At 52.2% G+C, this 16,694-nt stretch overlaps 1 protein-coding gene across 2 annotated transcripts, besides 1 other annotated feature; it reads right to left on the reverse strand.

Moving 5' to 3' along the window:
* TXN2 (thioredoxin 2) lies at positions 1,982–16,576 on the reverse strand. Of its 2 annotated transcripts, none has more exons than NM_012473.4 (4): positions 16,500–16,576; positions 15,511–15,773; positions 11,669–11,792; positions 1,982–2,853 (listed from the first exon to the last, which is right to left on the reverse strand). In NM_012473.4, exons 2-4 carry the CDS (start codon positions 15,771–15,773, stop codon positions 2,740–2,742), a joined length of 501 nt encoding a protein of 166 aa, NP_036605.2. In that variant the 5' UTR covers positions 16,500–16,576; the 3' UTR covers positions 1,982–2,739. The 2 variants fall into 2 exon arrangements, with proteins under 2 accessions (NP_036605.2, XP_006724289.1); XM_006724226.2 differs by having other exon boundaries at positions 16,079–16,576.
* Positions 4,839–5,675: an enhancer, noted in NCBI's record as "H3K27ac-H3K4me1 hESC enhancer chr22:36865950-36866786 (GRCh37/hg19 assembly coordinates)". NCBI's record gives its function as "activates a minimal SCP1, AML or CMV promoter by ChIP-STARR-seq in naive H9 embryonic stem cells {active_cell/tissue: H9 hESC(naive)}" and the evidence as "EXISTENCE:reporter gene assay evidence [ECO:0000049][PMID:30033119]".

The raw sequence follows: 16,694 nt of genomic DNA on the forward strand, positions 1-16,694 counted from the left end.
CTGGGTGTCAAGAAAAAATATACAGGGGCCATATCCCGGGTTGTCTTCAGGCTCGGGAAGCCTGCGACTTTGTCCCCTTTCCCCGGCTTCCCAACCTGGTGGCTAAAGGCTTCCAGCAGGTGTCTGCCAACCCCATCCACAGTCATGGGGCCCAATGTGGCACCCAGAGAATGACCGTGGGCTGACAGCCCAGAGCCAGCGGCATCCCCGGTGAGGTCAGTGTCCTGGAATTGGTCAAACAGGATCACCAGGAGGATTCCGTGAGCACAGCCAGCATGACTCACGGCCATGATCAGCCTCACGGGCAGAGGCTGCCAACCTGGGATGGCCACAGCCACCGGCTCACCTTGCAGGGCAACGCACCTTTTAAGGAGGGAGCTGGAGCAGCGCCCGGGTCCTGCCTCTGGCCAAGGCCTCTGCCACACTTCTCCACGCCCACCCGGGCAGAGAGGCCAGACCCCCACTGGGTTCAAATTTGGCACCACTTTTCAGACATGACCTTGGGCAAGTCGATTTCTCTGAACTGTTTTTTTCACTTATGATATGGAAATAATACTTGCCTCACAAGAGTGGAATTCGATGAGGTAATGTGTTTAGAAAGTGCGTGGCAAACGGTGCCTTTTAAGGAGCGGCAGTGGGGTCCGGTGGAAAGGGCCAGGGCTCGGGAGTCGAGGCGCCCCAGCATTGTGCTCTGGCCCCACCCTGGGCTCACTGGGTGTCTTTGAAAGAGTTACTCAACCTCCGATCTGCTCTGCTCCCACTGTGTCAAATGAGCTGACACCACTTGCCTTGTTGCCTGTTGTGAGATGAAGATCACACACACGCCACCTTCTATCAGATGACAGGAGGCAGCGAGGGTGGTTCCTGGGGGTGGGTGTGGAAGGCTGCCTGGCCTTGAATCCCAGCTCAGCCACTCAGGGGCTTTGTGACCTGGGGAAGGCTCCTCAACCTCTCGGGGCAGGTCTCAGGTGGAATCTGAAGGGCAACGCCTTCCCGCGGGGCTGTGCTGAGCTGAGACCCTCAAAACAGTGCCAGGTACCTGGGAGGTGCCTCCTGAGTCTGGGCAGGTCCTGCTCATCTTAACCAGGGCTTTTGGCCTTTGCAGGATGTTCACTCCACCAGCTTCCGTCTCCACTGACGCCAGTTGCTGGTTTTGTCCCCTCCATGTGCTTGTGACAGACCCCAGGGTCTGGGGTCCTTCAGAGGCCACGGGCCCCTCTCCTCCCTCGGTCTCGGCAGCCTTCCCAAGGCAGTCCTTGGGTGGGCCCCTGGAGAATGCAGACAGTTCTAATAGAACAGGGTGAGCCTCTGAGAACAGAGCAATACCAGCCCCATGGCATCCCTGGGGCCACGGAGTAGGGTGTCAGGATCCCCCTGCCGCCAAGCACCTGATTCACAGGAAGCTGGGGCCTCATCCAGGCAACCGAGCCCTAATGACAGCTTGGCCCTAGGAGCAAGGCAGACGGAAGGAAGGCTTTCTTGACTGGCAAGCCTGGCTCCCTTGGCACACTCCTCTATGGCCAAGGGGAGCTGGGGGCCAAGAGGGGTTGTCTGGTCCCAAGGCCCAGAAGTTCCTGCAGGCACCCATGGGAAGGATAGCCTGATCCCCACAGGGCCAGGCACCTGCTGGGGCAGCCAGGAGCCCTGTCAGTTGGGGAGGCCTCAGAAGGGTCAAGGGGATCAGCTGTGGGAGCCCAGGTTTCAGAGGCAACCACGTCTGGATAGAAACCCCAGCTCTGCATCCCATGAGCCACAGTGTCTACATCGGGGTAATGGGGACAACAGCCTCTTGCCTTAGGAGGGCACGAGGACTGGCACATGGCATCCTTAGAATAGCAGCCACTGCTGACAAGCATGTTAGTGAACAGGAAGGGCTGGTTGGAGAGAGTGTTGTGGAGTTAGGGGAGGATGTGGGGACAGTGGACAAGCCCCCTGGGAAAGGGTGACAAGTGCTCTGAGCCCACACAGATGTGACATTGCAGATGGTGCAGACCCTTGCTTTATTTGTCTGACTTGTTCACAGTTCAGCCCCCTGCTCAGAAAACCAACGGGCCAGCTAAGGAGAGGAGGAGGCACCTTGAGACTTCCGGAGTCGAGGCTCTCCAGGGTTCCCCAGCCCATCAATCATTTTCTGCACCCCCTGCCTGGGAGGCAGCTCCCTGGGGGGTGGGAATGGGTGACTAGAGGGGATTTCAGTGTGGGACCCAGGGTCTGTTCTTCACAGTAGGAGGTGGAAGGGATGACTAAGTTCTTTATCACAGACCTACAAAAAATGAGATAATTAGATATTACTCTCACTAGTTTGGGCTTCTTTTTTCTTTTTCTTTTTACAAAACAGCAGCTGGAAAGAGAAATGTAGGTGGCAGACGAGCCAGGCACGAGGTTTCAGATTGGAAGGGACCAAGATGAGGACCAAGGTGTGGCTGCCTGACTAGGAACGCTGTGGGCTGGCCCAGGCTCTCGCCACACATCCTGGGAGAACTGCCATAGGCCCTAGAAGGAGGGATGAAAGGCGTATGGGAGGGAAGACAGCGGTCCCCGGATCAGCAGCAGCACCACCATCCTCTGATGGCCCCTGGGCAGTCCGCCAGCTCGGAAGCACTCAGGGCTGGAGCCTGGGCTCTAAGCATGGGCCCCAGGAGCCAGACAGGAGGGAGGCAGCAGGAAGGGCTGGCATGGAAGGGCTGAGTTCTATTGGGGTCCCACGCGGGCAAGGGAACCAGGACTCATCCCTGCTTGTCAGCCAATCAGCTTCTTCAGGAAGGCCTCCAACTGATCCTCATCCTTGATGCCCACAAACTTGTCCACCACGTCCCCATTCTTCATGGCCAGCACAGTGGGCACCGCTGACACCTGGGTGGAGAGGACAAGGGGGTCCAAGTGAATTGGGAGTGAATACTTCTCAACTGCCACTCCTGAGCCTTTGTGGGGAAGGCTGGTGGCTTATCCAGGGCACTGACTTCCCAAAGCCATGGGCAGGCCTAGAGGAACATGGCTCTTCTCTCGGTGCAGGGGTACTGCAGGGCCCGGGGGCCACCCGCTGAAGAAACGTCTTCCATTGCGGGCTCCCAACAGTACCCTTCCTCCCTTAACCACAAGACTGACTCACTGGCCCAGTGGTTTTGCTGGAATGACAGGAGAGATGAAAATAACCCTTGCAGCTGCAGGCCAGGGCTGGGGGCAGGGAGGAGCTCAGGGGAAGCCTGGCCCAGGAGGAGACAGAAGCTGGGGGACAGTTCGAGTCCTGGCTTTGCACTCACTAGCAAGGGGGCCTTGGCCGGGTCACAGCACCTTTCTGAGCCTCAGTGTCCTTTTCCATAAAATGGGGGTAATGTCTACCTTTAGGGTTTGGGATGAACATTAAAGATTCAAGTATAGGCTGGGCACAGTGGCTTATATCTATAATCCCAGCCTTCTGGGAGACTGAGGCTGGAGGATTGCTTGAGTTCAAGAGTTCCAGACCAGCTTGGGCAATATAGTGAGACCCTTTGTTTACTAAACCCCCCCAAAATATTAGCCAGGCATGGTGGTACATGCCTGTACTCCCATACTCGGGAGGCTGAGGCAGGAGGATCGCTTGAGCCTGGGAGACTGAGGCTTCAGTGAGCTGTGATTGTGCCACTGCACTCCAGCCTGGGTGACAGAGACCCTGCCTCAAAAAAAAAGAGAAAGATTTGAGTATAAAGCAGAGCTCAGGCTGGGCGCGGTGGCTCACACCTGTAATCCCAGCATTTTGGGAGGCTGAGGTGGGCAGATCATTTGAGGTCAGGAGTTCGAGACCAGCCTGGCCAACATGGTGAAACCCTGTCTCTACTGAAAATACAAAAATTAGTCGGGCATGGTGGCAGGCACCTGTAATCCCACCTACTTGGGAGGCTGAGGTGAGAGAATTGCTTGAACCTGGGAGGTGGAGGCTGGAGTCAGTGGAGATTGCACCACTGCACTCCAGCCTGGGTGACAGAGTGAGACTCCATCTCATAAATAAATAAATAAATAAATAAATAAATACATAAATAAAGCAGAGCTCAGGTTCTGGCGGACGCAATCCGGCTCCTACCAGCCAGGTGAGCTGGGGCACGCCCCTCAGTCACTAAGCCTCAGTGTTCTCAGATGCAGGATGGAGATACTAAGGGCACTGCCATTAGAGGGCATGAAAGCTGAATGAAATAACGCAAGTAAAGGCTCAGCACAGCGCCCGGCAAATAAGCTTAGGAACCTGGCATTGTGCCTGGCATACTGTGGGCATTCAAAAAACAGTGGCTACAGAGGGCACAAGGAAAAGTCCAACACAGGCCCCACGAGAGCACATTAGCTTGCTGCTGTGATGAGTGACAGGGTCCAGAAACTCAGGGACTTCTACTGGACAGCATGAGAGGAGAGGCTTGGCCATACACAACCTGACGCTTATTAGCAGGTTGCAGGCAGATGGCAAGGACAACATTCTTGGTCTGTGAAGCATTTACTCAGTTCCCTCAGGGACCTGCATAGGTTATGTGGAACGTGGATGAGGCTGTGGCCCACCAGACTGGCATTGTGAGGTCTCTGCTGCCTGGGATCCCTGCCTGGCATTCGTGGGCATTTGAGAAAACCATTTAAACAGAACAAGATAGGCCGGTCGCTGTGGCTCACGCCTGTAATCCTAGCATTTTGGGAAGCCAAAGCGGGCAGATCACTTGAGGTCAGGAGTTCGAGACCAGCCTGACCAACATGGTGAAACCCCGTCTCTACTAAAAATACAAAAATTAGCCGGGCGTGGTGGGGCATGCCTATAGTCCCAGCTACTCGGGAGGCTGAGGCAGGAGAATCGCTTGAACCCGGGAGGCAGAGGTTGCACTGAGCTGAGATTGTGCCATTGCATTCCAGCCTGGGCGACAGAGCAAGACTCTGTTCCCCCCCTCAAAATAAATAAATAAAAATAAACAGAACAAGATAAACACAGACTTTTCTTACATACAAATTAAACTACAAAGTAAGAGCAGAGATTCACACAAACATACCAGGTCTTCACATATCCCAGTGCTGCCCTGCCACGGCCCATCTTGGAAGCCAGTAAGATTCAGAATGTTCAAAAACCATGCACATGGTAGTTAGGAAAGGCACGCAGGCCAGACCATCCCGCCCTCACCCACTAACTTTACGTGGCAGGCCCTGCACCCCACTCCTCACGGACACTTTGGGGACAAACACAGCAGGTCACAGGACACAGTCCTTGTCCTTGTTAGTGCCTCAGGCCCCTTCAAAGGCTGTCCCTGGGCTGATGTGGGTGGCAAACCCTGTCTCCAGGCAGAGCAGGGCCCGAAAGAGTTTGCTCCAGGAAGCGCCTGAAGCCACCAGGGCCTTCCCAGGCATTCTTTGGTGCCCTCTAGTGGTCTGCAAAGGCAGCTGGAGTGCCTCAAAGCCGGAGCCTCTTGGCAGAAGCAGAGAGCTCAGCCACCGGCTCCCACCTGCACACTGTCCTATTCCTTTAATTAAAATATATGCTTTATGCCACTGTATAAGAAGTGGCCTAACTTTTTTCACGGCAAGACTCTAAGTTCACTGAAGAGGCTCAGAGAGTGGACTTAGCGTTCCTTAAGAACTCCAGATAGGCACAAGCACAGTGGCTCACACCTGTAATCCCAAGTACTTTGGGAGGCCAAGGCAGGAGGACTGCTTGAGGTCAGGAATTCATGACCAGCCTGGGCAACATAGCAAGACGTCGTCTCCATAAAAATATTAAAAAAAAAAAAAAAGAACTCCAGATGAAGGCCATAATGATCTCACTCATGTAAACCTCCACACATGCTTGAACACGCACAGACCCTGCTGGTGTCAGGTAGACAGCAGATGTGCTGTCAATGGAGGTCTGGTCACTACTGATCAAGGGGATATTTTGAAGTTGAGCTTAAACACACACACGCATACACACATATATACACACACACACATACACACTACCCGCACTAGGGGCTCACAGGAAACCTGAGCTGGAATGGGACTTCCCTCGACCCTGAGGAGGCGGCTGAAGCTCTGCTGCTCCTGTGTCTGGCTCACACATCAGGAGGTGCCGGTGCCTGTAAACACTGCCTTACATGGAAGTGCACAGGGCCTTGGCACATTCTTCTGGAATGTTTTGAGTGTGAAAGAGGCAGTGACTGAGCCAACTGAGGGGCTGAGGAAAAGATACGCTACGACGTGTTGCCTGTCCTGTTCCGTGAAGCCACTTGGAACCTCCTATCCTTGGATAAAGACCCTCTGAACTCGGCAGGAGTGGGGGAGTGTGTACGTGTGCGCAGTCTCTTTCTGCTAACCCGTAGCTCGCCTGCACCGCCACTGAGCTCCGTGTCCTGGTATGTCTTCTCCTGTCCCACCCCGATGGCATCCATCTGTTAACTCAGCTAAGGGCCTACCAAGGGAAAGGCACAGTGCTGGGTGCTGCGGGATGTTGCAACCTCCTCCTCGGCTCATTGCAGAGTTAAAAGGAAAAGATCGCTGTCACATGCTGGGTGCTTTTTCGTGTCAGGAATGATATAAACACCTCTATACACTATCTCACACTCTCCTGGCTGTGGGCAGGATCATTTTAACGATGAGAATACTGAGGCTCAAAGGGTGAGCAACTGTTCCAAAATGATGTGGTGTAGGACAGGCGCGGCAGCTCCTGCCTGTAATCCCAGCACTTTGGGAGGCTGAGGAAGGTGAATCATCTGAGGTCAGGAATTCGAGACAAGGCCGGCCAATGTGGTGAAACCTTGTCTCTACCAAAAATACAAAAATTAGGCCGGGCGTGGTGGCTCACGCCTGTAATTCCAGCACTTTGGGAGGCTGAGGCAGGAGAAGTGCTTGAATGCGGGAGATGGAGGTCGCAGTGAGCCGAGATTGCGCCACTTCACTCCACCTGGGTGAAAAGAGTGAGACCCCCTCTAAAAAAAAAAAAAAAAAAAAGCTGGGATCTGAAACAAGATCTGTTTGACTTTGCAGTCCAGGGGATCAAACTCTGTTGTGCTTCTGCCCAGCAGCAAAGAGAGAGAGACATCTACTGAGTCCCAGCAGGGGGAAGAACGTGGGGACGCATTAAAGGATTTCATGCTTCAAATGCAAAATGCCAAGTGCTTTGTAAAAGCTTTTAGATATGAGAGGGTTCTTGGAAAAACGATTATTGAAAAAATGAACTACATAACATTCTGGCAGAATTAGGTAGACAGTGAAAAGATCAAGAGTCGCCAGGCCTGGAGGGAGGAGGAAGGAGAGATGAACAGGCAGAGGAGAGAGGACATGGAGGCAGTGAAATGACTCTGGATGATGCTAGAATGTGGACACCGGCTATGACACATTTGTCCAAACCCACAGCAGGCACAACACCAAGAGTGATCCCCTATGTAAACTTTTGGCTTTGGGGGATAATGATGTCCGTGTAGGTTCATAAGTTGTGACAAATGGACCACCCTGGTATGGGCTGTTGATAGTGTGGGAGGCTGGGCATGCGGGAGGACAGGGGACTTATGGGAAGTCTCTGTACCTTCCCCTTCCTCTCAATTTTGCCACGAACCTAAAACTGCCCTAAAAACATAAAATCCTCAAAAAGAACAACAACAAAAAATGAGATCAGTGACTGCTGGGGGGTTAAGGGGGTGAGGGGCAGGAAGGAGAGGTGAACTGCTGGAAAACAGGGGAACCGAGGGCGGTGGAACGGTTCTGTATGGCGCTGGAATGGTGGACACATGCCATTATACATTTGTCCATGAACTTTCTCACTGGCAAGCAGTCTGTGCTGAGAGCGGCAGCTGAGACACGGCCTTCCAAAGAGCAGTTCCTCCCCACAGAAAGTCAGTCCGGGGCCTTCAGAACCAGAAAGTCAATCTGGGGCCTTCAGAATGAAAAAGTCAGTATGGGGCCTTCAGAACATTGGCTTCTCTCCATGTCGGCTCAGGACACCCAGCCCTGGCATTACCTGGGAGCTTGTTAGAAATGCAGTCTTGGTGGCCGGGCGCGGTGGCTCATGCCTGTAATGCCAGCACTCTGGGAGGCCGAGGTGGGCGAATCACTTGAGGTGAGGAGTTTGAGACCAATCTGGTCAACATGGTGAAACCCCATCTCTACTAAAAATACAAAAATTAGGCCAGGTGTAGTGGCTCACGCCCGCAATCCTAGCACTTTGGGAGGCCGAGGCGGGCTGATCACCTGATGTCAGGAGTTTGAGACCAGCCTGGCAAACATGGTAAAACCTTGTCTCTATTAAAACTACAAAAATTAGCTGGGCGTGGTCGTGGGCACCTGTAATCCCAGCTACTCGGGAGGCTGAGGCAGGAGAATCGCTTGAACCTGAGAAGCGGAGGTTGCAGTGAACCGAGATCGTGCCATTGCACTCCAGCCTGGGCGACAGAGCGAGACTCCATCTCAAAAAAGAAAAAGGATTTTAGGCCTTAAAGAAAGCCATCATGGGGGGCACTGTAGTTCTCTCAGAGGAAACTTCTTCCTCAGGCTCTCTTCAGAAAGAAAAGAGGAAGGAAGGAAAGAAGGAAGGGAGGGAGAGAGGGAGGGGGTCAGGAAGAACCCTGGCTGGAGCTTCCTAAACCCTGCAATGATGTCAGACCAGGGTTTGGCTAAACAACACGGCTGAGACCAAGTGATGTGGGCCTAGCAGCCTTGAGGCCTTTCTGTGTGACAGCACAGTCCCCAGGCAGTGGACAGGGCGGGAGCGGTGGGTGTGGGGGGAGATTGAGAGGATTCCACAGGAGGCATCTCCTTCTCACTTCCCAGGCTTCACCGCAGGCCTTCAGTGCCCACTCCCACAACAGCCTCCCGGGGACGGTCCTCGGCATTCCCGCCACCCCACGAGACACTGGAGCAGGGCCTGTGGGCTTCTTTGCATCTGCAGTAGTTACCATAGTCCCTGCACATGGCTGGCCCTCAGGGGGTGTCTGCTGAAGAGTTATGAATACATTGGCTGAAGCTGAAGCTGTAGTGTCTGGCAGAGCCAGGAGGCCTGAGACATCTGAAGCCCACGCGTGACCTGTGGGAGGCCCTAGGAGCCCCAGCCCGGGCTCTCACCCGAGGCATAGCCAGGCAGGGGAAAGCCAGGGGCATCCAAATGGGCAGATAGATGCCTCCCTCACTGAGCAATCAGTGGCCAAACTTTTTGAAAAAGTGACTCACCCCTCCCCCAGCCCCTGTAAACAGCCCTCAGTTCCTAACTCCCAAAGCAGGCCTGCTCCAGTGGTCACCTGTAGTGGCCACCGTGTTTGTCTGCCTGGTCTCCATCTCCCCTGCTTCTGGTCATTGCAGACTGATGTTCCTTTGGGTAATCACTCCCCACTCCCTGCGTAGCTCAAGGGGCGGCCAGCCTGTTCTCACCCCGCTCCCAACCACCCATTTCTTGCTGCAGGAGACTGGTTCAGGGATGGGTGCCTCTATTTGAGCTGGTCTAGTAAGAGTGAAACCTGGACTTGTATACTCTGAGGAATAAAGCGGCCTCTTTCATTCACTTGTTACCTGGAGGAGGAAGGAGGGAGGGGTGAAGGCTCACTCCGGCCAGGTTAAGATATTTCAAGAAAATCAGATATCGAGATTTTCACATGAAATCTGAGTTTCAAATATCAGCATCTGCTTCCTATTACTTTAAAATACTTCGAGTGCCAGACTAAAAGTGTCTGTGAGCCAGGTTGGGCCCAGAGGCTGCCAGGAGCGCCCTCGGCTCTGTAACAGCGCTACCTTCAGCATGGCTATTCAGAGACCCTCCCAATCCGGCTGCATTATGCTTTCCCCAGCTCCGTACTCGGCCCTTCACTCTGGCCACCCAGACAAAGTGGGCCTCTCCCCTTTCTCCAGGTAGTGGTCTCCAAGGCCCAGAGGAAGCCCCCAACCCAGACACCTCCAGGCACCTGGCCCCTGCTGGTCTGTAAGCAACCCAGGCTCATCAGACCTCAGGGCTTTTGCTTTGCCTGAATTGTTCTTCCAAAGACCCACATGCTTCAGTCACTCCCTTCCTGTTTTTGCCCAAAGGTCAGCTTATCAGGGAGATCTACCCTATCCCACCCTTTAAAAAAGAAACCCGCTGGGCGCGGTGGCTTACGCCTGTAATCCCAGCACTTTGGGAGGCCAAGGCAGGTGGGTCACCCGAGGTCAGGAGATCAAGACCAGCCTGGCTAACATGGTGAAACCTCATTTCTACTAAAAATACAAAAAATTAGCCGGCGTGGTGGCGCGTGCCTGTAATCTCAGCTACTCCGGAGGCTGGGACAGGAGAACTGCTTGAACCCGGGAGGCAGAGGTTGCAGTGAGCCGAGATTGTGCCACTGCACTCCAGCTTGGGCAACAAGAGCAAAACTCTGTCTCGAAAAAACAAAAACCCTGCCTCATACGCAGTACTCCCATCCTCTCTTCCTGATGTATTTTTCTCCATTGAACTTATTATCTAAAACAGGGGTCAGCAAACTATAGTTCACAGGCCCAATACAGCCTACTGCTTGTTTTTGTAAATAAAGTTTTATTGTAACACAGCCATGCCCATTTGTTTGTATAGTGTCTATGGCTGCTTTCGGCTACGAGCCCAGCTGAATGGTTGTAGCAGCGACCACTGCCCTGCAATGCTTCCAATACCAACCAGTCCTTTAGAGAAAAAGTTTGCTGACCCTTGATTTAAAATACTAGAATGTAGACTCCACGGAGGCAGAGATTTTGTCAGTTTTGTTCACTGCCTTATCCTCAACACCAAGTAACACTACCTGGCACTTGAGGGACTCTCAAATATCTGCTGAATAAACAGACAAACCAACCAACCAAGTGAGACGACTCCATGTCTTTGTGCACGCTGTTTCCTCAGCCCTTCCTCCTCCTCTGCGCATCCCTCATGGCTCAGCTCAGAGGTTCTCTCTAACGTGAAGCATTCCCTGTCCCCTCCAGCTCCCCCACAAGCAAACAGTCCCTTCTTCCTTTATGCGCCTCTTCTTTTAGCACTTCTATATTGAGATGATCTTTCTACCTGCTGTTCTCTCCTGCTAGACTAGGAGAGATCTTGCTTGGAAACAAGATCTCATCTTGTGTCAGAATCACAAATGCTTGGCACATCGAGCTCCCAAATGACTGCTCACTGAACATGTGGGTAGATGGATAAAGGAATGTACCAATGTCTGAGACTAAGTGAATGACCTGGTGTTTTTGGGTCATACGATCTACTTCCTAAAGGTGGTGAAGAGAGACAGGTGGCTCAGAGGATCAAGAGCCACCTCTGCAAAGTGCTCTGAGCTCTTAAAAGCTCTCGAAAAACCGGCTGGGCGCAGTGGCTCATGCCTGTAATCCCAGCACTTTGGGAGGCCAAGGTGGGTGGATCATAAGGTCAGGAGTTCCAGACCAGTCTGGCCAACATGGTGATACCCTGTCTCTACTAAAAATACAAAAAATTAGCTGGGCGTGGTGGTGTGCGCCTGTAGTCCCAGCTACTTGGGAGGCTGAGGCAGGAGAATCGCGTGAACCCGGGAGGCAGAGGTTGCAATGAGCCGAGATCATGCCATTGCACTCTAGCCCAGGTGACAGTGAGAGATTCCGTCTCAAAAAAAAAAAGCTCTGGAAAAACCAAGACACCTTGCTTACTGGCTACCTGTGCTCCCCAAGATACCTCCTACACCAGCTATCCCTGGGCCTGACACCTCCTATACTGGCTTCCCTGTGGCAACTCCCTGTCAATCCATACCTCATACTCAATGGCGAGGTCTGTGTGGTCATCAATATCCACCTTGGCCATCACCACCTTCCCGTGCTGCTTGGCCACCATCTTCTCTAACCTCGGCCCCAGGATCTTGCAGGGTCCACACCACCTCAAAAGGCGAGAAAGGAAGCATCCAGTCAGTCAAAAGAGCGCTCAGCATCCCCTACTGGCTTCCCAGACCTGCATCTTTCCAAGGAATCTTTTGCCCTTATTATCTCTGTTTACCATGTTTAAAAATTAACACACCAAATGGTAATGCCAGGAGATTCTGCACATGGGAAATCTTCACAGATCCCAGACTTTTAAAACACAGGCCTCATCAGAAGACTCATAATAAAAGTGACTCATTTCAGTATATCTCAGATAAATATACTGTCATATAAAAGGATATGGGATTGGAAGTTAAAAGGTTCAAACAGAGGCTTCTCACCAACCAGCTGATTATTCTGGGGCCCTAGTTTCCTTTTTTTCTTTTTTTGAGACGGAGTCTCGCTCTATCCCCCAGGCTGGAGTGCAGTGGCGCGATCTCGGCTCACTGCAAGCTCCGCCTCCCTGGTTTACGCCATTCTCCTGCCTCAGCTTCCTCAGTAGCTGGGACTACAGGTGCCTGCCAACACGCCCAGCTAATTTTTTGTATTTTTTAGTAGAGACGGGGTTTCACCGTGTTAGCCAGGATGGTCTCGATCTCCTGACCTCGTGATCCGCCTGTCTCGGCCTCCCAAAGTGCTGGGATTACAGGCATGAGCCACCGCGCCCGGCCTGGGCCCTAGTTTCTTCATCTGAAAAAGAGAGATTATGGCTCTCAAAGCTATTAGGAGAGATCAACTAAGGCAATGTGGGTAAACATGCATTGGAAGCTGTGGGGATATTTCAAACACCATGTGGACTCAGAACTAAAAGGAGGGGAACCAATGGCCTGGAGCGTCTACAACGCACCAGTCCCTGGCTCACTTTCTCTGCTTTTACCAAACACACCCCTCAACTCTGCAAAGAGAACACACCTTCCAAAGAAACTGAAGCCCATACGAGTTAAGAAACCTGTGCAAGATTAGAGAAGCACAGCTGGGATCGATCACAACCCAAAGCTGTGTTGAAAGTGTTTTCTTTGGCCGGGTGCGGTGACCCACGCCTATAATTCCAGCACTTTGGGAGGCCGAGGCAGGCGGATCACCTGAGGTCAGGAGTTCAAGATCAGCCTGGCCAACATGGTAAAACCTCGTCTCTACTAAAAATACAAAGATTAGCCAGGAGTGGTGGTGTGCGCCTGTAATCCCAGCTTCTAGGAAGGCTGAGGCAGGAGAATCACTTTAACCTGGGAGGCAGAGGTTGAAGTGAGCTGAGATTGTGCCACTGCACTCCAGCCTGGGCGACAGAGACTCTGTCTCAAAAAAAAAAAAAAAAAAAAAAGAGAAAGTGTTTTATTTCACCCACAGGCTACTCTGATCCCACAGCCCCTGAGTTGACCATTATCACTGCCCTGATCATAGGTATTCCCCTCTCGCTGGGGAAGCTCATCCAGGACAGGCCTGGTGCTGTCATCTCTATGTATGTGGCACCAAGGAAAGTGCCTGGCACTGAATGAACAACTCACACCACCCCACTTCCTTACTGAACAAAATGAGGCATTATCCCATTTATTGTTCATTTCGGAAGGCCTCTCTGGAATGCTCACTACACCAGGAGGCCAAGACAGTTCCACCTTTCACAAACCCCTGGCTGACAACTCCTATTTTATTCTCAGCACTTACTTATTTATTTTTGAGATGGAGTCTCACTCTGTTGCCCAGGCTGGAGTGCAATGGCGCGATCTCGGCTCACTGCAACTTCCGCCTCCCGGGTTCAAGCAATTCTCCTGCCTCAGCCTCCTGAGTAGCAGGTGTGGTGGTGCACACCGCACCCAGCCAGGCCTGACGGTTTTAAATGCTGAAAAATAGGCCGGGCATAATGGCTCACACCTGTAATCCTAGCACTCTGGGAGGCCAAGGCGGGAGAGAATCACCTGTGGTCAGGAGTTTGAGAGACTAGCCTGGCCAATATGGTGAAACCCCGTCTCTACTAAAAATACAAAAAAATTATCTGGGTGGTAGTCCCAACTACTTGGGAGGCTGAGGCAGGAAAATTGTTTTAACTCGGGAGGTGGAGGTTGCAGTGAGCTGACTGAACCACTGCAGTCCAGCCTGGGTGACAGAATGAGACTCTGTCTCAAAAACAAAAAAGGAAAAAAAACCCTCAGGCCTGGCGCAGTGGTTCATGCCTGTAATCCTAGCACTTTGGGAGGCCAAGGTGGGAGGATTGCTTGAGATCAGGAGGTAGAGACTGCAGTGAGCCGTGATCGCACCACTGCACTCTACATTCTAGCCTGGGTGACAGAGTGAGACCTTGTCTCTAAAAGAAGAAAAACAAAAACAACTCATAACACTGAAAAACCCAGTGTGCAAGACCTTATCTCCTATTACAAGTGAAGAAAGGGAGCACAAAGATATCAAGTGGCCTGCCCAAGGCCACAGGGTGAGTCAGAGAAACAACTGGAAAGCCAGCGAAACAATCTGTCAGAGACCTGACCAGAAGGCCCTTCAATTTCTTTTTCTTTTTTTTTTTTTTTGAGATGGAGTTTCCCTCTGTCACCCAGGCTGGAGTGCAATGGCGCGATCTCAGCTCACTGCAACCTCCACCTCCCAGGTTCAAGCGATTCTCCTGCCTCAGCCTCTTGGGTAGCTGGGATTACAGGTGCCCGCCACCACGCCCGATTAATTTTTGTATTTTTGGTAGAGATGGGGTTTCACTATGTTGGCTGGGCAGGTCTCAAACTCCTGACCTCAGGTAATCCACCTGCCTCGGCCTCTGAAAGTGCTGGGATTACAGGTGTGAGCCACTGCGTCCGACCTGAAGGCCCCTGAATTTTTAACTTATGCTACACTGGTTTCTCCCAGGATGCCTCATTCAGAGGGCTTTGTCCAGCTTTTGTGTAGTTGGGTGTCTAGCCAGGCCCCAAAGATCTAGAAATGAAAAAGCCCAGGCTAAAATTCAGAAGGCCAGAGGGACTTAAATATCTCTAAAGCAAACTCAGATAGCACTGAAAGGAAACTCCTTCCTATGCCCTGTATGCTTGGGCACCACGGTAGTGACACCGATAACTTTTTTTTTTTTTTTTTGAGATGGAATTTCACTCTTTTTGCCCAGGCTGGAGTGTAATGGCGCGATCTTCAGCTCACTACAAACACTACCTCTTAGGTTCAAGTGATTCTCCTGCCTCAGCCTCCCGAGTAGCTGGGATTACAGGCACACACCACCACGCCTAGCTAATTTTGTATTTTTAATAGAGACAGGGTATCACCATGTTGGCCAGGCTGGTCTTGAACTCCTGACCTCAGGTGATCTGCCCGCCTTGGCCTCCCAAAGTGCTGGGATTACAGGCATGAGCCACCGCACCCGGCCGACACTGATAACTTTTTGCCAGCCCTTCTTGCGGTTTTCATGGCAGGATGTTAACATCAGCTTATCTGCAGGGCCAGGAACTGGTATACACCAAAAGCAAGGTGACAGTCATATTTTTCCAACTCTGGTCCATGCTAAAGATGACGCTGAGCTTTCTGGGGATTGAGAAACAGAACATGTGTTTCCCAGCACTAACAGTCAGCTTTGCAGACTGTTCACTTGTCTGTCTTCCACCAGACTGCATTCCCCTTGAGGGCAGGGACTGGGCCTGACCAGTCTGTATATTGAGTCTACATATGAGCAGCATAGAACATGGCCGTGGGACACAGCAGGCATTCAATAAATACTTGAACAAGTAGGACCCTAGTCTTCTGTGGACCCCCAATACTCACTGTGCGTGGAAATCCACAACCACTGGTGTCTCACTGTTGACCACTCGGTCTTGAAAGTCAGGTCCATCCTGGATATTAAAGGTTGTCAAGGAGATCCTCGTGGTGTATATTGTCCGGGCTGGGTTGGGTGTTACAGTCAGGCCACCAGGACTGCATTGTGGGGTCTGCAGGGCTCTGGAAGTGAGGGGTGGCCACTGACCCTGAGAGGGCTTCCTGGAGATGACAGAGGCCAGGAACCTCCTCAGAAGAAGTCGCTGAGCCATCTGTGAGGGAAAGAGGCAGAAGAACTGGGGCACACAAAAGGAAGTCGACACACTAGAAAAAGATTTGGGGAGTACTCAGGGCTCAGGAAGAGGCAGAGTTGGAAGCAAAATGCAAGGAAATCATATGTAAGATTTGTAGCGTGGAAGTGAGGAAGCAATGAGAATCAAAGGGAAGGAACAGCTAGGCAAACCAGAAGGACAGGAAAACTGGCTTCACAACCAAAAAGAAATCGGGATTTAGATTATAACGGAAGAATGGGAGGAAGAAACCAACAGATTTAATAATGTATGTAAGGACCAAGTACCTTACACACATTATTGGTCTTCCTACAGCAACTTCCAGGAAGTTGCTATTGTACTGCCCACACTGCGAGTAAGGGAAGGAATACGAGGCTCAAGTAAGTTAAGTGACATGCCCAAAGTAACCCCGCTATTAAATGACAGCCAACACTGGAACCCAGGGTCGTCTGAAAAGATGAAACGCAACAATTCAAGGAGGAACTAAGAGTGTGAGAGGAACCAAAAACGAAGAGACATGTACTGGAGGGAACCAATAAAGAAGGGACATGTGTGGAGGGAACTGGGAAAAATCGGACATCACCAGGGACCCTGGCTCTCCGGCGAGCTAGATCCCCCCGCCCGCCCGGCCGCCAGCCTGCGCAGGAACGCGCTCGCGGCATGCCTCAGCCGCGACACCACCTCGAGCCACCCCCACAGGGCTCCTACCTCCCTGCAATGCGAGCGGAGGGATGCACAGCCTAGCCCTCCCTGCCTGTCAAGGGCACGCCTGTCGTCACTTCCTCGGGGGGGGACGTACATAACGTCACTTCCGGGTACAGGCAGGCGGAAGAGCGTCCCTCTCCAATTTTTTTTTTTTTTTTTTTTTTTTTTGAGCCAGAGTCTCGCTCTGTTGCCAGGCTG

The sequence above is a fragment of the Homo sapiens genome, chromosome 22 (assembly GCF_000001405.40).
Source record: "Homo sapiens chromosome 22, GRCh38.p14 Primary Assembly".
Taxonomy (NCBI): domain Eukaryota; kingdom Metazoa; phylum Chordata; class Mammalia; order Primates; family Hominidae; genus Homo; species Homo sapiens.